The 23,972-nt window shown below is 52.9% G+C and overlaps 1 long non-coding RNA gene across 2 annotated transcripts in view, besides 3 other annotated features; it reads right to left on the bottom strand.

Annotated features, from left to right (window-relative positions):
- Positions 6,738-7,239: an enhancer, noted in NCBI's record as "H3K4me1 hESC enhancer chr2:2700169-2700670 (GRCh37/hg19 assembly coordinates)". NCBI's record gives its function as "activates a minimal SCP1, AML or CMV promoter by ChIP-STARR-seq in naive H9 embryonic stem cells {active_cell/tissue: H9 hESC(naive)}" and the evidence as "EXISTENCE:reporter gene assay evidence [ECO:0000049][PMID:30033119]".
- Positions 7,240-7,739: an enhancer, noted in NCBI's record as "H3K4me1 hESC enhancer chr2:2700671-2701170 (GRCh37/hg19 assembly coordinates)". NCBI's record gives its function as "activates a minimal SCP1, AML or CMV promoter by ChIP-STARR-seq in primed H9 embryonic stem cells {active_cell/tissue: H9 hESC(primed)}" and the evidence as "EXISTENCE:reporter gene assay evidence [ECO:0000049][PMID:30033119]".
- Positions 13,487-14,444: an enhancer, noted in NCBI's record as "H3K4me1 hESC enhancer chr2:2706918-2707875 (GRCh37/hg19 assembly coordinates)". NCBI's record gives its function as "activates a minimal SCP1, AML or CMV promoter by ChIP-STARR-seq in naive H9 embryonic stem cells {active_cell/tissue: H9 hESC(naive)}" and the evidence as "EXISTENCE:reporter gene assay evidence [ECO:0000049][PMID:30033119]".
- The window catches only part of LOC105373390 (uncharacterized), a 133,531-nt gene continuing 127,240 nt past the window's right edge, over positions 17,682-23,972 (bottom strand). For both annotated transcript variants that reach the window (NR_187839.1, NR_187838.1), the window contains exon 4: positions 17,682-19,778. This is a non-coding gene — a long non-coding RNA (uncharacterized LOC105373390). The remainder of the gene's footprint in view (positions 19,779-23,972) is intronic.

Raw genomic sequence — 23,972 nt, forward strand, 5'->3', positions numbered from 1 at the left:
ATTTGGAGAACAGAACTCCCCCAGAGCCTGCCTGATGTAAAACTAATGCCTTCGAAGTTTCAGAGCCAGGGATGGGGCTGTGGGGACAGTAATGACCAGGACACAGAGGGGCGTTTCCAGGGCTTTCTGTGTCCATCATTCCAGGGCACCAGCCTCAGACAGAGCCCTCTTGACTAGTTCTGTGGCCGGGGACACAGCGCTCATGAGGGGCCAGTTGTCTTCCTCCCAATCAGGTGCCCTGGGGAGACATCAACTAGGAAGACCCCCAAGGCCCTCGTCTGTGGAGAAAGCCTGAGTGCCTGATGTGGCTCACAAGCCACTTCAAAGCCACCGCTGTGGCTGCTCGGGTGTGGGATCCGGCTGTCCTGCCCATTCGATGTTCCAGCCCCACCTGGCCTAGGTACTGCTAGAAAGGTGGGAGGGTCTCATCAGGCCACTGTGCTGGGTGACACCTGGGGGCTGCAGCATGGGGAGGAGCCGTGGAGTGCAGCAGGCAGCCCTGACCACTGCTTGGTAGGCTTGTCCTCACTCCCCCACCCTCCATGCATGGGCTGCTGTCCTCACTCCTCCACCCTCTATGCATGGGCTGCTTTCCTCACTCCCCCACCCTCTATGCATGGGCTGTTGCTGTCTGGGTGGGATCCTCCAGGGTGCCTCACCCATGGGAGCTTAGTCCGGCACATTCTCTGGTTCTGTTCTTGCCTTCTGCCTCCCATCTGCTGCCTCCTCTCCTACATCCTCTTCCCTGAGTTCACACCACCCTCTCTCCTCCCTACTCACACTGTTCCTGTTTGGCCCCAATCTCCATGAGCTGGCTTCTGGCACGGGGATGACCCCAGACCAGGGAGACGGCCCAGGTCCCTGTCCACAGCCACCTTGCTAAGCTCAAGTCCCAGGAACCATCAGCTAGGCAAAGCCTGGCCACATAAAGCAAAGAGTGGCTCTTGAAGGCCAGCATCCAGGACTGCAGGCTCCAGGCGGTCTGCCTGAGTGAGACCACACCCCAAATAGCACCTGAGGGGCATGAGCAGAGAAAGATGGGAATGGCTCACTGGTCAAACCCACAACTCTCACACTATCACCTGTCACACACATTCGTCACTCACACCCGTGGTTCTCAAAAGCTCACACCATTAATCTCTCACACATCTTCATGTCTCACACCTTCACCTCCCACACCCTAACCTCCCACACACATTCACATCTCACACCCTCCTTTCTCACTTCCTCCCCTCACACTCCCTCCCCTCTCACTCCCTCCCCTCTCACACCCTCCCCTCTCACTCCCTCCCCTCTCACTCCCTCCCTTCTCACTCCCTCCCCTCTCACTCCCTCCCCTCTCACTCCCTCCCCTCTCACTCACTCCCTTCTCACTCCCTCCCCTCTCACTCCCTTCTGTCTCACTCCCTCCCCTCTCACACCCTCCCCTCTCACTCCCTCTCCTCACTCCCCCCTCACACCCTCCTCTCTCACTCCCTCACAAAGGTAACTAAGGCATTACTGCCTCCCATCTAGAGAGCTCCAACCCCGGCCCAGGTCTGCCACTGTCATGTCCTGATTGATATGGTTTGGCTGTGTCCCCACCCACATCTCATCTTGAATTGTAGTTCCATAATTCCCATGTGTTGTGGGAGGGGCCTGGTGGGAGATAACTGAATCATGGGAGCGGTTTTCCCCGTCCTGTTCTCATGGAAGTGGGTAAGTCTCACGGGGTCTGATGGTTTTCTGAGGGCTTTCTCCTCTCACTTGGCTCTCCTTCCCTCATCTGCCACCAAGTAAGACGTGGCTTTACCTTATGCCATGATGGTGAGGCCTCCCCAGCCATGTGGAACTTTCAGTCTATTAAACCTCTTTTTTTCTTTATAAATTACCCGGCCTCAGGTAGGTCTTTATCAACAGCATGAAAACAGACCAATACGCTGAGCTTGAGCGAGGCACGGCACCGATGAGCTCTCCACTCGTGAGAATCAGGGATCGGGCTCTGTAAGGGTGACCACGCTCTGTAGATAGTCGGGTTTCCCAGAGCTGCCTCAGGGCCTTGAGAGGTTGGGATTAGACCAGAGGGCAGGGCTCTGGAGCCCCAACCCTTTTCTGTAAGTGGCCCAATCTTCTCAGTTTTTTATATTGGGCTTCATGGTTTATAATTCATGTCTGAGCACCATGGGACCAGACTTTTCTGAGGTCCCTCCATGGGTAGCCCTCCAGGACAGCTCCGAGTCAACACGTGGGTTCCTTCTCCTCCTGCAGATCATTCCAGGACACAGATACCTCCCTGTTCCCTGTGGCCAAGTCTGACTCATTCTTCCCAACTCAGCTCAGGTGTAGACTTCTCCATGAAGCCACCTGACAGCTGCACACTCTTATCCTGGAAACCTCCCACCCTGTGTCCATGCCCGGGATCCTCCTGCAGAGATGTGTCTGTCACAGAGTGGGCACTCTGCAAACGTTTGTACATGAATTGCCATGACAGCAGCCCAGGATGCTGCTCTCAGAGATCTTTGAGTTCTTTTCAGTCTCTGACCCAGGAGTATGGAGGCATTACAGCAGTTGCCAAGGGACCCACTTCATACACCTCTGTAAAAGACCTTTTCTGTTATAGGTCTCAGCAAATATCTGCCAGACTGAATGGGGAATGGTCCTGTGTTTCACTGGCTCTGACCCCAGCTCCTTTGTTTGCTGGACACAGATCTGTGGTGCAGAATCCTCAGTGAGCCTCTGGATGAGCCACCCACAGTCTGTCTTTCTGGCTCTGAAGCACCTGCTACCTCATCTCAAAAATACCACTGGATGGATTAACTGGATTCTGCAGCCCTTCTGATATCTTGTTAGAGAAAACAAGCGAACTAGAAATCCACTGGCTTTAACTTTCCTTCCCAAACACAGGCCTGTCCACTGGGGAAATCTCTCAGCTGCTGGGTTGGTATTTCTTTTCTAACAAACCAAAACAGTTACCTTCCTCTTCCAGGCACGGTGAAGAGAAAGATGACAACTTGGAGTGATTGGCTTATATCTCTCTGATTGTACTCCTTGGACCAGGGCTGCTAAGGGAGATAGACCAACACATTCCCAATCTAGCCGGATGCACCAGAAAGGCCATGTGTTCAGACTCAATTCTGCACGCCTCCCCCAGGCGGCTGCTCTGCACAGCCACAGCCTCTCTGGACACCCCCACCTGCCAGGTCCGCTGTGCTCAACTCTTCCTTCAACCCGGCTCCTCATCTCCAGAGCAGGACCTCTTCACTGCTTCCCACACTTCCTCCCCAGAAGGAGAGAATACACAATAGAAAACAAAGGAGACATAGAGAGAAAAGCGGAACTCAGCAAAGAGCAGAAAATGTAAGCGAGGGATCCCAGGAAATTGCATCTGAAGCCTGAATCGGCGTCTCCCTCGTGGACTGTTCACCATTCCCCATCGCTGTCTGGGAAGGTTGTCTCCATGGCAATGGGGACCACCTAGTTAGTTCCCAACTCGGTCTATCCTGGGAGACCCCGAGCAACAGTCTCTCTTCACCGTGGCTCCTGCCGGCTCCCTGACTAGCAACAGTCTCTCTTCACCGTGGCTCCTGCTGGCCCCCTGACTACTGGTCCTCATAGGCGCTTTCCAGACACCCACACCTTCTCGACAAGCCAGTGCAATCAGCTGCCCGAAGGAAGACACAGAGCTTCCATTTCCAAGTTGCTCCTGCCTGTACCCCACCACCTTATGCCATTAATAATGGCGGTGCCCCACCCCAGCACACACATCTGACAAGCACAGTTGGCCCGGGGCAAACTCGGCTTCACTGAGCAAAATGGAAACACAAGACAATTGCAACAGGGTCTTCCACTCGCCTCCCTTGCAAAACGCAAAGTTTCTCTCGTCTACTTTGGGAAGTCTGAGTGTTTTCTCTTACTCCAGGTTTACTTTCCCACCATTGTCCTGCCTAGCACACCAGGAAAATTTAGCAACAGCAGAAATCCACCTTGGACAAATTTTGTGAAACCTTCCTGCAAAATCATCATCCCCCTCAAAACCAACCATCCTCCAGACAGTCTTCACCATCAGGCTAGACACATTTCCTGTCTGGAATATCCACTTTTAGGCAGACTGAGGCTGGAACGAGGCAAGAGAACCGTCCAGCTCACAAAGCACAGGCCGGCAGTGGCTGCAATGAGTGGCCGCCTTCTGGGGCTGCTGCCTCGTCACACTGATTTTATTTTTCTGATGCTCTATAATGAAGTGTACCAATTAAAATACGCTGGTGTCATCATGTGTTGCCTCAAAAATAAGTCTCTTTTATCATACAAAAGAAAAATAGCATTTATAAAATAAGAGCAACCCTCCCGCTTACTTGCTGCTAAAAAAAGTCAGTGCACTTTTCCGGTGGACAGTTTAACGCGACTCGCCGTGTGAAACACGCATGGCTTTTGACCCAGCAATTCTTCTTCTGGAAAGGTGTCATTAAGCAGATAACAGGGACTTCTGGTTAAACATGGCGGACCTCACACAGTGTTCATTCCTTCTCTCTCCTAATCCTCTCTAAAATGAAAACTAAAGGAATAAAATGTTGTAAATACACAAAACCAAAAATAATAGGCAAAATGAGAAAATACAGTATCAGGTAAAGTTGCCAACGTAGTGTGTGTGGCAAAGATGGTGTGTGGAGCTGAGAAGGCTGAAGCCCAGGCACCTGGAAAACGGGGGCTGTTAGGAATTAAGCCCTGCTCTCTGAAGAACCCGGAGAGGCTCCCGAACTGGAGCACCAGTAGCTGTGGGAGGTGGGGAGCCTGCGGGCTGAAAAGGAAGAGTGTGGACAAGGTCTGCATGAGAGGTATAGATGCCTGTCCCACACCCCTCTCCTCCCCACATGGCTCCTTGCCCTGGCTACTGCTGAGGACGTAAGGCATCCAGAATGACATGGAAGCTGTTAACAAAAGACCGGTGATATCTGTGGAGGCAACGGGAGAACCTTATTTTCTAAAAGCAAATAGATTTTGCTTTTAGAAAAATCTGTGATTGTGGACACGCAGCCTTTGGTGTAAGACACAGGTGGAGGGATCAGGGATTGGGAGATGATGAAGGCAAATCCTTCAGAATAGGAGTTTAGGGGGAGTTCGTTGCAGGATCTAGACGGGAAGGCCTTTAAGCGAGACCTTGCCGGTCTCTCTGCATCAGCCTCAGGTGGCCTGCGGGTGGTCAGTGGGGAATTTTAAGCCAAGGTCTGGCTCAGCACCAACGACAGGAACTGGTCTGGCCTGATTGTAGAAAGGGAGGTCCTATGACACTTTCACAACATCTTCCCGAAGACAGAGAGTGGGTGGCCGCTTCCTTATCCTGCCATGGCCGCCTGCTTGTTTTAACTCTGAGTGCATCAGGTGGCCACAGGGAGCCCCTTTTGTCTGTCGGCTGGGAGCACACTTAACAAAGCTTACATTCAGGAACACATGCCCAGTAGAGGTCGGAGGGGTGCGATGTTGGAAATGAGATTAAATAAATGCCTACGTAATATTCACAGAGACCCCAGCTCTCTCCTGAAGCTCAGCTCCAAGAACGGTGGTGGTCAGGGCATGGCCGCACAACCTTACCTTGACCACTCAGGAAAAGGCCTGGCTGTTCCCAAACAGAAGATTTATAGATAACCACAACAAAGCCGCCAGCTTCCAGCCCCATCATGCTGCAGAGACCTCACCACGGGCGGGCCCCCTGCACATGTGTGGAAGCTTCCCATCAGGGTCAGTGTCTCTCTCCTCAATGCAGGCAGAAAGGCGTCTGGAGCGGGGAGACCACGGCCAGCAATAGACACTGCAGATTTAGTGGCAAAGACGGGGGCAGAGCTGGAAAACTGAAAGAAAGAGAGAATAAAATGAGAACAAGAACCAGGGTATGAGCTGTCGGGAAGATGCTAAGGAAAAAAGCCTACCACAATCTTCTCATCCATTCTTCTGCTTTATTCAAACGTTCGGGTCCTTGTCTGGCCTCAAGAAGGAATAAGAGGCAGGGTATCTCAAAATTCTGCTAGGTTTAACATAGCTTCTTCTTGGTCTTGTCGCTTTCTGCATTTTTATGACTTCCCAGTAAAACTCAGCATTCGGGGAGGGAAGGCAGAGAGAGTGCAAAGTGGGAGAACCCGGGACTGGCATTGGTGAGGGGGCTGTGCTGAGGTCAGAGGTGATCCTCTCTGGCCCAGCAGAGACCTAGAGCCTCTTGACAGTCGGGTCCAGGTGAGTGAAATGAGAGTCAAAGCCAGGGTGGAGGGGTGTTGCAGCCTCCAGGGAGCTGGAGACTGGTACCGGTGAGAGGGAGGACTAGGAAGGGCACAGGGAGAAAGGAAAAGAACTGCAATTTGAAGGTCCTGATGTTGAAAACTCTGATGAGCTCCCAGTAAAGTAAGTAGAGCTAAGACGATTGTCCTCAAGGCTAAGATGGATTAAAAGGTGGCCATGGAGGTGACCACAGCCTCCTCTCATCGCAACAGACAGGGAAGAGCAACACGGTGAGCCACAGGCGGGTCTGCCTCCCGCTGCCTTTGGACTCAATATCGACCTTACCTGAATTTCCAGCCTGCTGGTCTGCAGACTTCAGATTTCCCAGCCCCACAAAGGAGTGAAAAAATTCTCTGAAATCAATCTCTCTCTCTCTCTCTCTCTCGGTCTATTTCTCTGGAGAACTCGGACTCATGCAGATTTTGGTCTGAGGAAGGTGAGAGTGAGCTGTGTTTTCATTCAGCAGGGGTGACTGGAGCCTGGACTTCCCTGAGCCTGCACACACAAGGATCCACAGTGGAGGGCTCCTCCATCTAGACTGGTCACCATGGAAGCAGAGAGTAAAAATACAGCTGAGAGGGGTGGCCGTGGAAATGTGTGTGACTCACTCGGGAGCACCAGGATGCACACAGGAGGAGCACCAAGGATGAGCACGGGAGCACCAAGAATGCACACAGCAGCACCGGGGATGCACACAGGAGTATTGGGGATGCACACAGGAGTATTGGGGATGCACACAGGAGTATTGGGGATGCACATAGGAGCACTGGGGATGCACATAGGAGTATTGGGGACGCACACAGCAGCACCAGGGATGCACACAGGAGCACCGGGGATGCCCACAGGAGCACCAGGGATGTGAACAGGAGCATTAGAGATGCATGCAGGAGCACCGGGGATGCACACAGGAGCACCAGGGATGTGAACAGGAGCACCGGGGATGCCCACAGGAGCACTGAAGATGTGTGCACAGGAGCACTGAGGATGCGCACAGGAGCACCGGGGATGTACGCCCCACCCAGAGCCAGGAGGAGTCTGGATGACTTCCTGAAAGTCATGAAGCTTGGGTGAGTGGGTGAAACGGAGGGAACATTGGCACCCGAGCCCAGATGGCCATACCCACCGATTCCAGAGGCAGGGCACTGCACACCGGGAGTGTGTGTGTGATGGTGGCTGGGTGCAGGGACAGAGGCTTAGTAGACACAGGCAGCAAATGTGCTCAGACACCTGGCATCAAGGGCTCGTGCATCAAGTTAGAGTTTGGGTCTTACCATGTGGGCTGTGGAGTGCCTCTGAATATTCTAAATGGGGAAGTGACTTGGTCAAGATTTTCACTAGGAATATATGTTGTTATTTATTATAGTCGCCGTGTTATGCAATAGGTCACCAGAGCTGATTCCTGCTACCCATCTGAAACTTTGTTCCCTTTGGCCAGCATACCCTAAGAGAGGATTTAAATATGTTCTTCCATAAAGAAATGGCAAACATTTGAGGTGACAGGTACTCTAATCAGCTTGATTTGTTCATCCCACAATGTGTATATATACATATACTGAAACACATTGTACCCCATAAATATATGTAGCTATCATTTATTAATAAAAATATAACAAATTTGAAAACAAAAAAATTAAAACATCTCCCCCAGGAAGATCTCTCTGTGATGGATTTGAGGGAGTGAAACCAGAATAGTCCTCCTAGGAGGCTGTAGTGGTGCTCCAGGCCAGAGAGAAGGGTGTCCTAAGCAGCTGAGGCTGCGGGAGGGTATGTGAAGGAGACAGAGTAACAGGACTTGCTACTAAATAGCCCACGATGCCCAGGAAAGGAACCCAGGATGTGTGGACATTCTGGTTTGAGAATTGCACAGAGTCTTCGACGACGCACGAGGAGGAGTGGGTTTGGGTAGAGAAAAGACATCAGTCCAGCGAGGGTGGTGATGGGTTTCGGAAGAGACCTGGGATAGCGAGGTGCCTGGACGGCCACACCACTGTGACCAATTTGCTTATGCAGGTCACACCCAACAGTGACAGGATCACAGGCTGAACTATCCACCAGAGCCTAGATGTGGCAAAGACGAGCCCATGAAATCATCCACACTGTGCACTGGAGGAAGATGACAGGGGATGGGGCATCCTCTGTAAAAAGCAGGAAGGAGGAGGATGTCCTCAATAGCATTCTACAGTCACAGAACTCTATCATTTTCAAGGGTAAGAATGAAGGCTTTAAGTGGTATTATTCCCATTTTACAAAGAGGGAAACTGTTACAGAGGGATAGCTTCCACCCTAGTTCCAGTTTTGTGGATATGATACTGGCTCTTGGAAGCGAGGTCCTGAACCTGACATGACGAACCTGAGGGCATACCCTGTAATACCCAGGACCTCGACATGATCGAGGACACTTTCAGAGGGCAGCCCGGACCAGGAACCCTGAGCTCCGGCCTGGGCTCCTCTCCTGCAGCCTCCCTGAGCCGGCACTGCCAGGCGTGCACCTAATGGCTGCTCGCGTTCTCTGTGACTTCCAAGGTGGGTGACAGGAAAAGGGAGCTACATTCCCTGGGCTGGTGGCTCAAGCCCCGTGGCAGCATCTGTTTTTAAGTGATATGCACATGACAGTTTTTATGGCGTCCTTTCTGATATCAAATCCTGTCTCTTCACTTCCAACCCAGAATTAATTGAGAATGTTTCTTCCTTAGGTTTGATGATTCTTATGGTTATTGAGGCCCATGTGCACAGGTAAGAAGCTTTATATAAGTAACCATAATACCTTGCATTTTTCCAGTGTGTATTTTTTCTTGAGAGATCAAAAGACTATGGTATCGCCCTCCTGTGGCTGAAAGGAAATGTTCGCTCATGTGCTGTGGATGCACTGTCACGTCCATGGGTGAGGTCACATTGCCTGCGTGTGGAAGCTGTCACCTGACACACGCTTACTTACCTTGCAGGGAGCCAGCAGGGCAAACACCTCTTCGTCCTGAAGCTGAGTGGCTTGGACAGGCACAACGTGGCACCAGGAGCCCGAGGGGAGCCATCAGGGCTGCAAGAACCAGCATGACCACAGCCTTCCAGTCCAGAGGCCTGGGGTGGAAGGAGGGATTTGACCAAGCCGTAGGAGTCAGGAAATGGTTGTGTTGCCAGTGATAGATTCACTGGAGATGTCCCAGCTTTGACTGTGTGGAGGCACGCAGGCTTCAGGACAGGAGCACGGAAGGAGGTGGGCGCTGCACCACCTGCAGGGGCCAGTGGTGAGGAATGAGGATGGGCAGAAGATTCAGGGACTTGACCTTGGGTTCAAGGACATCTGGGCTGTGAGGAAGGACAGATGCTCTGGCTGGAGGCCTCGTCACCTGGGACACCAGGCCTGGAATGCAGCTCTCCATCCAGCCCCCGCTCGCTGCTGACGCCTCCTGCTGGGAACAAATAACTCCCAGGGGAGGAAATAAAGAGGGCACACAGAGCTGTGAGCGCTGTCCCGGTGCACCACGGATCCAAGTGATGAGGGTGAAAGGAGAGGCTTCGTTTTCCTTTGGCAATCAAATTTTAAAAGATTAATAATCCAGGTTGTTACTAGTGAGTGGGAGAGCAGCGACACACACATTGCCTTACGCTGATGGTAAAAGTAAACGTGGAATAAAATGATACTTACAGGAAGCAATAGCTGTCAAGGAACTTTGGGGAACTTTTCCTAATTAAATAATCTAAAACAAGAAGAAAACTGTATTCACCAGGATGTTCGCGACACTGCTGTTTATGGTATTAAAAATAAAAACAGTACCATGTCCACAGTTAGCGAAATGGTTCATGATAACACTACTCTGCAATGTAAAGGGGAGTTCACACACCGAGAACGAGGAAATGACAATGAATTGACATGAGAATGACTGAACCAGCAGTGACCTGCGCAGTGTGGCTCCTGGGAGAGGCCTGGGCCAGTGTGTAATCTCACAGCCAGAGTCCAAGCCACAGGGGAGACTCCCAGAGCCTCCCTAAGCTCTACCTTCCCGCTCTGTAAAGCAAAGATAGAAATGCGGGTCTCAGGCCAGGCGCAGTGGCTCACACCTGTAATCCCAGCACTTTGGGAGGCCGAGGAGGGCGGATCACTTGAGGTCAGGAGTTCATGACCAGCCTGGCCAACATGGTGAGACTTTGTCTCTACTAAAAATGCAAAAATTATCTGGGCGTGGTGGCGCGTGCCTGTAATCCCAGCTACTCAGGAAGCTGAGGCAGGAGAATTGTTTGAACCCAGGAGGCAGAGGTTGCAGTGAGCTGAGATCACGCCACTGCACTCCAGTCTGGGTGACAGAGTGAGACTACATCTCAAAAAAAGAAAAAAGCAAAAAGAAAAGGAAAAGAAATGCTCATCTCATGCGGCTGGAGTGGGGATGAAAATCAGATAATGAATCAGACGCACCGTGATCACATAATCACCGTTAAGCACTTTAGATGGAAACCCAGATTTCCTACCTGGTGTTCTGCATAGATAACACCAACCAGGTGTAGACGCGGCAAAGACACCTGGAGCCCTCTCAAAGCCAGCTGGGGTTCTGTACATAGGTCTGTGACAGAGGCAGTGGTGTGAGACCTCAATGCTGAACGAAACAGGGGCTGGGTCAGAGAGGGCCACTGCAGACCTGAGCCCCTCCTGGCTGGGCCCCCAGCACCTGGGGAGCGCAGGATGATAAAACACCAGCGAAGGCTCTTTAATTGGTTATCTGCATGCATGCCTTTAAGCCTACGGTTTTGTGAATAATAAATAATCCACTTCAGAGTTTAGGGTCCATTCTCTTGGCTGATTTTGTTGCAGCCTTTATAAAAATCCTGCCCTGTTATTAACAGGCTTTGAGATTGGGAGCAAGACACTTTCCTTTTTGGACTCAGTTTTACTATCTGGCAAAATATGTGGGAAGACTCTGAGACGTACGGTCCTTGCCAGGCAACTTTTTTTCCTCCTTCAGGCCTAGACTTGTGGGCTGGTCCTTGTCTTCACAGCCAGGCTGTGCCAAGGTCACAGTCAGGAGAACGCTCCAGCCCTGGCTGGCTCCCCTCCATCCTCCCCTTCCCCTCTAGAGCAGACTCTAATAATAATGATGATCATGGTGAACCCTCCTCTGCATCTTGGAAGGAGACAATTTAAACGAAGTCCAACTAAGGCAAAACATTTCTCTTTTCTTTTTCCCCTTCTTATTTTTTAATTCTACCTCTCCAGAATAAGGAACACATTAGGAAGATAATAGGGGAATATGTGTGGGAAGCAAAGGATTCTGGTTCTCTCAGAGAAGGGTGACCCCCACCAGCCTTCACTGTCCTCGGAGGGCCCGCATGTCCCACGGTGCTTCCAGGGCCCTCGTTGGGTGTGGGCATTGGGGGCTTGGAATCGCTGGCTGGCAGGAGAGAGGGCCGCTGAGAAAGAGCAGCTGACATGGGCAAAATCCCCAGAACATGTGCAGGGAGCAGGGAGAGTGACTTTCCCACCCCACAGCTGACAGGGACGTCGCCTGCAGGTCCCACGCGGGGCTGGCTCTTTACCTTCTCCAGAGTTCACAGCACAGGTGGCTCGGGCAAGGCTGGGCTCAGAGACAAAGAAGGCTCTTTCCAGAGCCAGCCTCCTGCTTTTTCCCAATAGGGACAGCCCCCTCCCACCGTGCACTTGGAAATTTTGCCTCCCCACACCCGTACGCGCAAACCCACATGCAAGGTGGAGAGACTCCGTCGCATGTCCCGAGTCTGAGGACATGACCGGAGCGGAGTCCGGGAAGTCCCTCAGGGGCAAGCACAGGGGCAGCTCTGTCTGCTGATCCTTTCCAGTCTCCCTTTCTTCCGCCTTAGAGCTCAGCTCTTTGCTGTCCTAAGAAATGCAAAAAGTACAATTAATAATTAATGGAGCGAGAGCCTCTTGTCTGTGTTATTCAATGCCCAAATGCTAGGACAGACCAGCCCCAGGAGCAGCTTGAACCGCACAGATCCTGAGCTGCACTTAGAGGTGTGTTGATTTCCTCCCATCTCCCTTCCGTGGAAACCAGGGCAGGCCCAGATGCAGCGCACAGGGCCAGGCCAGATGAGAGCCAGTGCTTGCCACACGAAGGTGCACCTCAAAGGACCACCCTGATTCCAAGGGCCAGTCCATCTGCTGGATGGTGGCAGGAGGGCCGAAGTGGCAGGAGGGCCGAAAGGCACATTTGCAGTGTTCACAAACCAAAGTCACCATCACTAGACACCATGTCTCTCAACCTGTAGGGCGACACTGTCTCTCCCATGTCGCAGATGACTAAATTAAGGCACAGCAGAGTTTGCTTGAAAAGCACACTGCCAATAAGCTGTTCCATCAATTCTAAGGTACACGCTGAAAAATATATTTTAATATCAATGGCGTGTCAAATGCAGTTGGTGCCATCTTTTTAGAGTTACATAAATATCTTATAGTGATGGGATTTACTAAAGCAAATATAGGATTAGAACACTCCCCTTCCATTCAGTTACTACTCTGGTGCTCCGTTTATTGGGAACATAAGGAAACAAGATGTGCACCTGGCAGGCAGTCCCTGCCCATCCCTGTGTGCACCATCCCTTCTCCTGCCTGGAGGAAGCACCCTCCTTAAATGAAGAGGAAAGGTCCAGGGTGGTGGGCGGTGGGGGAAGACAGGATGCAAATCCTGCAGCCTGCTGAATCCGGCTGCACTCAGCCTCTGCTGCTCGCTCTGTGACTGGGGGCAGTTTTCTGGGCAGTGGGATTAGTGACGGTGCTCCCAGGCGTGCACGCAGGTGCCCATCCCATCTCTCCATGCAGTCATCTGGCTGCCCCTGGGAGTGGCGTGGCCTGTCCTCCTCCCTCTCTGCTCTCTGAGCCCTGTCCTGTGCGCTAGCAGCAGAGTCAGGGGCTCTGGGTGGGCTTCCCCGCTGTGAGCGCCTTGAAGGCAGGGGCTTTGTCGTATTCATCCTTCACCAAACCTGCAGGATGCTAACAGCACATCTGTCCTTGCAATTTGGAAAACAGAGGCGGCATACCTTCTTCATTTCCTTGCCAATTTCTCATGATTAACTGGGCTGATATGAGTATTGTGTTTCTCTATGAAGGAAGAGGACCCGTATTATAGTTTGGCTATTTCAGAGTACACCAGGCACATTCGGCAAGGCTTCTACTGAAAGGCCTGGTCAGCCACTCTGTAGGAGCTGGTGCCTGCTCATGCAGCCAAGCTTGGTTCCCTGCAGCCTCCCAAGCACAGTCTGGCCAGGTTGGTTATGGCTGTTCCTCAGGCTGCTGTGGAAGGCTCTTGTTGGCTCCGGCCCCAATCCCTCTTTCAAGTCACAGTGGTCAGGGTCACAAAACTGGTTTTGGAGAAAATGATATAAAACTGACTGACATAACCTCCACCCCTTTTGCCCCAAAAGGAGCAGAGTAACCAGCAGGCACTAGGGGGCTGCAGCCTCAACCCACAAGGGTGAGATCTTGTCATTTAGTGAACACAGCATTCAGTCTACCTCGTCTTTGGAAGGGTAGCAGGTGTGATGTTAGACTTCACAAGCCACAAACGGCACTCAGCACGTGGGAGCCCAGGGCCCCTGTGGCCTTCCCCTGTGGATGCCTGCGGGCAGAGCTCCCACCTCTCCCACTGCAGTCGGGAGATGGCAAACCCCAGGTCTGTCCTCAGGACAGCGCCTCACCCATGCTCTTCACGAGGAGGAGGATAAAATCCACCCTTCAGGGTTGTTGAGAAACTAAATGAGACACCGACTAGGGCACGGGAGGGTCCACAGAGGCCCTGTAAGAGCTGCTGGTTCATTCCTTTGTGTTTTCAAGGTCCGGGCAAGCACGGGATGGGATGGGATGGGATGGGACCAGCCATGGGGTGCGGCAGGCTGCCCACTTCCCCAGCCTGGGTCTCTGCCCAATACCTCAGACTCCATCCTGCCTGGCAGCTGAAGTGGCTCTGCCGGCTCCTTCCAAGAGCTCTCAGCCTGAGCCGCTATCGATTGTAGACACTTTGCACGAGTCCGTTAAGATAGGAGGGGAGAAAATGCAGCAGCCATCCAGAAATAATTAGAAGAGAAAAGGGCTCCCCAGATCCACCTCCTCTCTGAAAAGCCGAGACCAACGCCCACTCGTCCTCCACCCTGTCTCCATCTCATACACACACATACTGATTGCCAAAAAATGTGCTCTGAAAAATCGTGTTGGCAATTGTGTTTGATCCCGGCTTCTATGCCTTTCGGAAGGGCCTGCGCTCAAGGACATTTCTGAGCGATGTCTTGGCCACACAGCTTGCCGTTCACTCCTCCCCTCATTCCTCCTTCCCTCCCTGGGATCTCACTTCTTCTTTGTGGATAACTCTGTCCTAGGAACAAGACGGAAGCAAGACACTAGTGAAAATAAAGCAAACCACATTGTTGAGTAAGGGCTACATGCCGGGCACTGTCCTGAGCATCCTTCCTAAGAAAACCTTGCGAGTTGGGTATTAATAACCATGTTACAGATTAGGGAACTGGAGGACAGAGAAGGCAAGTGAGCTGCTGGGGTGATTGTTCATCCAGGACCAGCAGATTCCAGCAAGGCTGGGCTCTTCCCGTGACCCTGCCAGACCCCTCTTGAGCCGAGTGGAAACGGGGCTCTCAGACATGCTGGGGTCTTTGCATCCTTGTGAGAAGCGGTGGGGTGGGAGGGATCTGGACTGTCGGAACCCACACTATGCACTCCGTCCTCACGTTCCACCTGAGCCCACTGAGGCCTGGAGGGAGGGAGGCGGATGCAGGGCATTCTGACTGTGGAGTCAGACAGAGCCTGAGGGTGGGGACTGGCCTGTCACTTCCACATTTTATTTGCTTTGGGCCTGAAATTCCTCCATTTACAGTCTAGGTCTTTATGATGAAAATTTCCCTCTTTCTTTTTTTTTCTTTTCTAGTACAAAGCTTGTCCTTACTAGCTGTAAGCTGCTGGTTTCTTAGCTGGGTGCCCTATTTCTGTGTTATCAGAGGGCGGCAGCAGCAGAACAGGCAGGCCCTGAGGGCAGAGGAGGAAGGAAGAGGCCCATGAGGGTAAACGCCCTGGAGGAAGGGTGCTTTCACAACATGGCGGTGGGGGGGGGTGGGGGTCAACACAGCCACCTTTGTGCTGTCCCCTGGTCTCCTCCGCAGCCACTGGGGCACCTCCCAGGCCTGCTGCACACGGCTCCTGGTCTAAGGAGAGAGAACTTGGTACACAGATACCATAGAAGAAAATGCAGCAATGGCTAAATAAATAATTTCATCAAAATGCAATGCGAGCCACAAAAAAGGAGGCTCAGGGAAGGCCTGGTGTGAGCCTCACCAGTAGGCGTCGACCTCAGCACCGGCTCAGTGCAGGGCACAGGGGATACAAGGTGGGCCAGCTGGGGGCCTGCTGTCCACAGTCTCCGGAACTGCTGAAGGAAACTGTCCTGAGTGGGTGACGGTTTGCAGCACAGAAAGCACGTGTGCAGGTCAGAGTTGCACGGCCTGAGGGCCTCAGAGAGCCAAGGGGACATTCTCCTTCCCTGCCGGGTCCATCCTCCAGCAGGGATCTCCCTACCACCCTCCCACTCTTCAACAGCAGCCTTGTTGGATGGGAAAAAGGAGAAGGGGTGCAGGCAGCTCAGGGCTGTCGACCTGAGCTCAGAGGAGAGGCCAGTGTGGGGAGCCCAGATGGGTCATGCAGAGGAGCCAGCAGAAACACATCGCTGGAGATGCCTTTAACGATGGGCATCTCTCTGTCTCTCTGAAGGCTCAGCAGAGAGCAGGAAGCCACAGGGCAGTGAGGCACCCACCAGTGGCAGCCGTGGAGGGAGGGAGCCTGGGCAGACAGAACCATGGACGCCAGTGGTGCCCATGCCCTGCCCAGGGACCTGTCATACATCACCTCACTGGCAAAGAGACTCACAGACGATGCCAGTGGTGCCCTGCCCAGGGACCTGTCATACATCACCTCACTGGCAAAGAGACTCGCACATGTGATTAAATTAAGAATTTGGGGATTGAGGAGATTATTCTGGATTATCCAGGGGGTCCAAGGCAATCACTCAGGTCCCTGCAGGAGTCAGAGAAGGAGTGAGAGGGCAAAGGCCGAGGCCAGACAGAGGCTGAAGGTGCTCCTGGTGAGCCGTCAAGGGAGAGGAAGGGGCCTGGGCCGAGGACTCTGGCTGGTGCCTCAGATCAGAAAAAGGTAAAGAATCCCCCGTGGGCTCCAAAGGAGCACGGCCCTGCTGCCACGGACACCTGGCTGCCAGGACCTTCCATCCCAGCAGTGACTTGCGCCATAGGTGGCTCTGCGCCCACTTAGATCGTGGGAATCTGTTACAGCAGCTGTGGCAAACCGACAAGGAACTTTATCAGGAACTTGGCTGAGGGGCTGGGGCCACAGGTGAAGGACCCCATCCGCTTGTGGAAAACCTGCAGGGGGGCAGGAGGCACAAACTCCACCCACACAGCCTCTGAGCTTTGATCTCATAGTGCCGCCCACTGGTTCAACTGGGTCAGAAACCAGAAGACAAGGAGTTCGTGGTCACTGAGGAGGGTGGAGAGGGAGAGCTGATCTGGGTGCAGGCATGTGAGGGCACCAGGGAGCCACCCAGCCGTGCAGAGAAGAGAACGCATGTGCAGAGAAGAGAGCAGATTCCCACACAAATCCCAGTTCAGGAGATGGTGCTTGATTGGGGCGCTCATGGTGTGGGGGCAGCATGGGTTTGGAGACTGTGCCTGAGTGTCAGGGTGAAGCGCTCAGCCTCTCCTCCCTCCCAGTGCGGGCAGTGCTGTCCTCGCCCCCAGTGACCAGGCCTCCTGGGAGCCCCTGCTCCACGTCGAGGGACCACACACAGACACCGAGAACTCAGAGGAGCCCATGACTGTGCTGCCCCTGCCTGTGGCTCCTGCTTCCAGAATAATAGGAAGCAGACTCTTCCTGTGTCTCTCACCACTGCTGAGATGGCTCAGGCAGTCCAGGGATCAATACATGCTTCCTGTGAAACCATTAGCGACTAGATTTGAGAGCTCAGGGTAGATGAGAAAAGACTGCAGACGGGCAAGGTGTCCATCGCGCCCCACACCGGCGACCCTGGGATGGGATCTCGGTCAGCCCTAGAAAAAGCAGCTCCCAGGGACTTTACCCAACCACAGTCCCTGTGAGATCAGAAGACCTGGATTCCAAGCTCATCTCTGCCTCGAGGGGACCCTGGCCCTTCTCGAGTCTTGAATCTCTGGTCACCTCTTGTAGACCCCATGCTTGGGCCACATTCTTCAGGAGAGAACAAATGGGTAGACCTTCAGTGAAGACAAGAGGCTCTTCCAGGCTGCAGTGCCAGAAAGAAAGGCATTAGGTGGAAATCGCACAGCACACACGTGCCCACAGCCCTGGGTGGTGGGCTTCCTCCACTGCGTCATCCACCCACCCTCGCTGCTGCCAGCATCCCCCTCAATTACTTATGTTCACAGACATGAACTCAGTAAACTCACCCTTTATTTGTCCTGTGGAGAGAAGGGCTAAGGGAGCCCAGGCGGCTCAGCAGGACACAGGGACGCTTTTAGAACAGCTCATTTGCATGAGGCAGAGCACGTCCCTGTGTCTTTGCGGAAGATGAAAGTCTGCCTCTCTCTTCTTATGCTTCCCCTGTTCAGGCATCAGACCAGGCACTCACTCTTATCAAAAAGGAAAAAGACTACATCAGCAAACTCTCTCTCTCCCCCTCTCTCTTTCTCTTGCCCAAAGATTCTTTGCATAATTGAAACCAAGGGAACAAAAATGCACAAAAGCAAGTGGCACAGATGTTTTCATCACAGGTACCTCAAATAACTCCAAAGGGCCCTCACCAAGCAGCGCCTGTGAATATATTTCATGCCCTGCTCGCTGAGAATTAGCATTGGAAGTCATCGCTGTGAACACAGGGAGCTGGATGAATTTCAATCCAGCACAGAAACCAGCCGCTGCTGTTGCGGGATGTCAGCTGCAGTCACATCACTGCAGAGCTCTTTTGCAAGACCAGCAGAAGCCGGCGTGTCATTTTTGACATAGCAGCTCGTCCCTTTTCACTGCTCAGCTGACAGCACGCTCAGTGCCTGCCTGTTGCTCCGTGTTGAACGGGCCCAGGTGCCCAGGTGTGAGTCTCTGGGGTTCTCTGGAGGATGTCAGCTCAGCTCTGTGTCTTGGATGGCAGAGCTGTGGGACCAATTGATTTGCTTGCCAGCAGTGCCCACACCCAGGAGAGGAGATTGCTGGAAAACTGAAGCATCCTTTATGGGACTGTTACACCGATTCTGGAAAGAAAGTCATGTAGGAGCCTTGGCCTTGCCAACACTGAGATGGCGCCCTTCTGGGAAGGCCTTCTTTCCACTCGGCCCGGTGTGGCAGGTACACCTGGAAGCCTGGAACACTGTCACTATGGCTGTGACCTCCCGCAGGGCCATTTTCACCCTTGCTACATATTTTCATATGCTAACTTATTTGCCGTTTTTTAATCATGTGGAGGTAGAAAAACCTCAGCATGGAGGGAGAACAAGTAGGCAGATAGGAGCACACTTGTCCCTCCTCTTCCTGTTAAGTTCCCAGTAGTCAGAGAGAAGATTTCCTCCTCTTCCTGGAGCAGGCTCTGGAGAAAACGCTGCACTGGCCCACACGTGGGCTGAGCCCTGACTGTGTGCTGCTGGAGACAAAGGTGCATCAGGCACAATGCCTGCCCTCAGGGGGGCTGCCGTACCTGTGGGGAGACTGAGCACAGAGACACATGCACCCAGGCTCTGTGTGTGTAAAGTGCATGCATTAGCATAGGCAGATATGCCTGCTTCAGGCCGCGTACACACACATGTGCACGGCAGATACTCAGAATCTGGAATCAGATCCAGGACTGATGGCTGCACCGCGGGTAACAAGCCATACGGCCTTGGGCACATCGCCCAGCCTTTGTGAGCCTCGGGAGCTCTCTCCGCACCATTCAGACAACGCACCGTCTCCAGCGGCCTCACGGCATCCATGTGCATTCAGCTGAAAGTGCTCTTGGGACCTCGAAGAGCTGCTTGAATTTAAGGGGTAGGAAATATGCCCTTGTTCCCTCCCATGCCCTTTGTTCACCCTCGTCCCTCACTCCTAGGAAGTTCGCGCTGCCGCTTTACCACCTGGGCCAGTCTCTGGGAAGGTGAGGCCCCAGGTGCTGGGTCTGCAGCCCCGGGGAGGCTGAGAAGCTCACGGTGGCTGAGCCCTTGCTGCATGTCAGCTGCCGTGCGTGTGTTACTTCATTAACCCTCACGGAAGCCCCGTGGAGGAGCTGCAGTTTTATCTCTGCCGTACAGATGCAGCGTTTAAAGCGTAGAGAGAAGAGGTGACTTGTTCAGACTCACGAGGTGAGAGCAGGGCCCAGAGTCCCCCCAGAGTGCGCCGGTGCCGGCTGCGTGATCTCAGGGGTGGGCTGAGCAGGGTCTGCTTCTCTCGCAGGCTGGGCCACCCACCGCTCCCCCTGGCCATGCCTGTGAGGTTGTGGCATGGACGCTGACAGTGTCCGTGGCTTCTTGCTCTCCTCCTTCTGGTTGGCTCTGGCCAACAGGGAGCCCTGGAAGGAGAGTGGGGAGAAAGAAGAGTGAGGAGAGGTAGTCGTGCCCCTGGGTCCATCACACCAAGGTCTGTTTCTCACGTCAAGGTCACTGCTCCACTCAAGGCAGCCCCCGCTCACGAAGCTCTGGTCCTGATACCCCGTCCCTCTGGCTGTGCCCCAGGCCAGGCAGCGGCGACCAATGCCTGCCCACTAGCCCTGTGGTTGGTGAACCACCATCGCCATCGCCTGAGGTCCCTCCACCCGCCTCAGTATTGTAGACCCTGGATGAAACGCCCCTTAAGAGTCGTAACCTCTGTGTTGTCTGTGGCCCTTAGGCCCTGATGGACACAAGGAGGTGCTTAGCACAGAGCAGGCAGCTGGATGTGGGAAACACGAGGTGGGCTGTGACTCATGGGCAGGTCCCGTCCCCTTCGAGAGCCTCGGTGTCACCCTCAGGGTGATGAGGGTTGACAAGACACCAGAGCAGGACACCCTGAGTCCCTCGGATGAACCGACAAGCATCTGGGCTTCCTCTCAGCACAGCAGCATCTTCCTTGTCTCTTCGTTGCCTCCCGAGGTCCCCCCACTCCAGGACGTGCTCAGTCAGGAACAGGCATCCTCAGCACTGGGGCTCCATTTCTCTGTCCGCTTCCTGCAGCATTTGGCCAGAGCAGCCTCGAGCCCACTGTGAAGTGAAGGACCCGGCTCTGCTGCTGGCTCTGGAGGCAAAAGCGTCTCCCCTCCCTGTGGCGGAGCTGATGCACCCAGCCTGCACACCTGCACACCCGCGTGCTTGTCCAGCAATCTGGGCGGCTCCTTTGCCCCCAGAAGCGGGTCAGAGACCTTCTCTTTCCTGCCTGTCTCTCCTGTGTCTCTGGTGGGAGCAGGGAGGGGCTCAGCCACCATCTATGTCAGGGAGGCCTTGGGTGTTCTCTGCCACCACGGTGGACTTTGCTTGACACGCAGGCATCTCAAATCCAGAGGCCAGTGTAGAATAGGATTTGCTGTGGATTCCCCCTCCTGGCTGGAAGCAACTGTACGTTTCCCCAGAGTCATGCTTGAGATATTCAAATAGAATTTGGGAACAAGCAGAGGGCTGCTATTGGAAGATGATCCGTTCTGTCTTGTTAGTCAGTGAAGACAGTACTGGCAGGGACCAAAGAGGAGAGGAGTTGGGAAATAGTTTTTTCCTTCTGATGTGAATGCCGCTATCCTTGAGGCACCCCACCCATTTACCCACATAAGGAAGTTCAATCAGAGTAAAATTCCCCATCAGCAAATGGCCACTACCTCCTTGGGAGAGGGAAAGAGATGACAGTTCTTATCAAATAATTTTTTTTTTTTTGAGACAGAGTCTCGCTCTGTTGGCCAGGCTAGAGTGCAGTTGCACAGTCTCTCTCACTGCAACCTCTGCCTCCTGGGCTCAAGCAATTCTCCTGCCTCAGCCTCCCAAGTAGCTGGGATTACAGGGGTGTGCCACCACCCCTGGCTAATTTTTGTATTTTTAGTAGAGACGGGGTTTCACCATGTTGGCCAGTCTGGTCTTGAACTCCTGACCTCAGGTAATCCACCCTCCTGGGCCTCCCAAAATGCTGGGATTACAGGCGTGAGCCACCGTGCCCGGCCAGATAAGTTTTTAAAAGACCTTCCACGTGGTCTATTGGAATTTTTTGTTGGAACCTGCGTCACGGACATTGAGGAGTGGGCAGCCAACAACGTGTCCCACTCGAATGGAGCAGGGAAGACCCTGTCCTGTGGACGGAGCGTTCTGTACAGCTCAGGGACTTGTGATCTCCCTTGAGACAGAAAACAGAAGATTATGTTTTTAGCAAAAAAGGGGCTTGAATGTGATTGAGATCCCTGTCTCTAAACCATCCCTCTCTATGAGCTCTGGTCTGCCATCCTAGAATCAGGTATTTGTCTTTCTCATTGTACAAACATACAAACAGAACCACCAACACCCCCTGCAGCTAGAATCCTGTCATTTCTAGCAGCCATTCCATGTCTCTGTTTTCAGTTGGGCTTCTGAGCCCACCCCTACACACGTCACCCAAACGCCGTGAAAAAGCCACCTCTGATCCCACAAGTGTGAAACCCAGTAGACTCTGGGGACTTCCTGACACTCTGGACATTGTTGAATTCTCCCTCTATCTTTAGAAGTATGTATTTCCTTGTCTCCTATGCATAACAAACCAAATTAACCAAATACTATTCCCTGGACTTTTCAAGAGAATTCTATGATCCTTCATCCAATATCCTTCATCCAATTATCTTCCTCCTACATAAAAAGGAACTTATGTACTGGTGTGTATGTGTGTGGTGGGGGACAGGGTGGCAGGTTCCTCACACTAGAGGGTAACTGAGGAAGGGAAGTGTGGCCCAGGAGATGCAGGAAGGGAATTTTAGGGGTTTGAGGACTGAGATGCCTAAGATGGCCTCTGGAATCAGAAGGAATCAGGAATTTGGGAACGGAAATCCTAGGGAGTGTTTGATGGGTTATAAATGCATCCTGTTGCTCTGGAAGGCTCGGATACGGCCTCTGAGTAGTTTCAAATGACTTTATATGATTAGATAATTCTCTAGAGCTTGTCATCTCTTTGAGACTGGGATTTGTGGGTCTCCCAGCCGGCAGGGACTGTGCAGGGCATTGCTTTCTCCCGGGCCTCCTGCTCTGCTCCTTCTTCCTCTGTGCACACTCTGGGGGTCTCTGAGTGGCTCCTGCCCACAATGTGCCCCCTCTGCTCACTCTCTCCTCTCCTTGGCTTAGCCCCACCTCCACGCTGGCTGCCCCTGAGTCTCCATCACTCACCCAGACAATGCCTCCGGGCTCCGGCTCTGGAGGCTCCTGGGCTCCATGCTGTCAGCCCCCACAGCAGCTGAGCCTCATGCCCCCTGCTTCAGCCAGGTCGGAAGTTGCGTCCTCCTGTGGTCCCTGCCTCTCACACTGCCCGCACCTGGTCGGTCATCACTGCTAATGACTCCACTCTCCTTCCCCACACGTCCTCCAGCTGCTGTTCTGCCAACATCTCCCGCTACTGCAGCCGCTTGGGTTTCCACACATCTTTGTTTTCCTTTGGTAAAACCCAAGTGTATGACTGTTGTCCTGGCAGAACCATCAGCAGTGCCCTTTCTCAGGAACAAGGGCGTCCTAATTTGGAAGATGAAGTAAACAGAGATCCTAAAAATAATCTCTAATAAGCCTCTCTTCTTCCAGACCCCTTTCCTTTAAATTACCCTTCCCCATGCCTCTCCTGTGCTCTGTTCAAGTGGCAGCTAAACCCCTGCTGAAATTGTTCTTGGCCTCCCATGATGGAAGATCTTAGCTTCTAACCCCCTTCACCTTAGGAACAGCCACGGCCTTCTCTCCTCCTCCAGACCCATCTTCCTTCTTCCCACTTCACGTTTGACCTGGAAATACCAGATCGCTGGTGAAATCCTGTGTATGACACACTTCATCAACATTTCCCCTCTGTCCAGAGCACTGGTTCCTGGCTTCCGCCTGGGCTAAGCCCTGTTCTTTACGGGCTTAGTTCAAGCATTATCCCTTCTAGAAGGCCTTCCTAGAACACCGGACGGGCCCCTCTTCTCTACCTCCAAAGCACCTGTGCCTGGTGCCCAGTCCGTAGACAATACCTCCTGGCCATTCCCATGTCCAGCTGTCTCTCGCCACCTCACACACACGCCCGGTGCTCTGAGCTCTATTCCACCACCAAGACCCTTCCTTGCCCCATCTTCCAGGAGGATGCTAGCCTGTACCTCGATTAGTACTTATTTCATTTAAAATAAATATTTTCCAATAATAACATGAGTGTGAACTACATATTTTTTCATTTAAGAAATCACAAAAGTAGAAAGAAGAAAACAAATCACCCATCAACCTACCTTGCAAAAACTGCCATTGGCTTCTCATGAGAGAAGAGTGATAAACCCCATTGAAACTCAGAGATCATAAGACGTCCAGGCCATTTACAGAAGGGAAAATGGCCTAACCCAGTTGCATAGCTATTAAGGGTATCGCTGGTTTATAAGATGGAATGATTGATATTTATGGGATCACCAATGAATGGCTAAACAACAATTATCAATCTGCTTTTGGGTGGCAGAGCCCGGGCGCTGCCCTTGTGTTGGGTGGATACTTAGAGAACTGAGCTGGGATAGAGGAACAGGGAATGGGAGGGCCCTCGCCCAGAGAACCTTGCAGACACACAGCAC

Source organism: Homo sapiens, chromosome 2, assembly GCF_000001405.40.
Source record: "Homo sapiens chromosome 2, GRCh38.p14 Primary Assembly".
In the NCBI taxonomy this organism is placed as follows: Eukaryota; Metazoa; Chordata; class Mammalia; order Primates; family Hominidae; genus Homo; species Homo sapiens.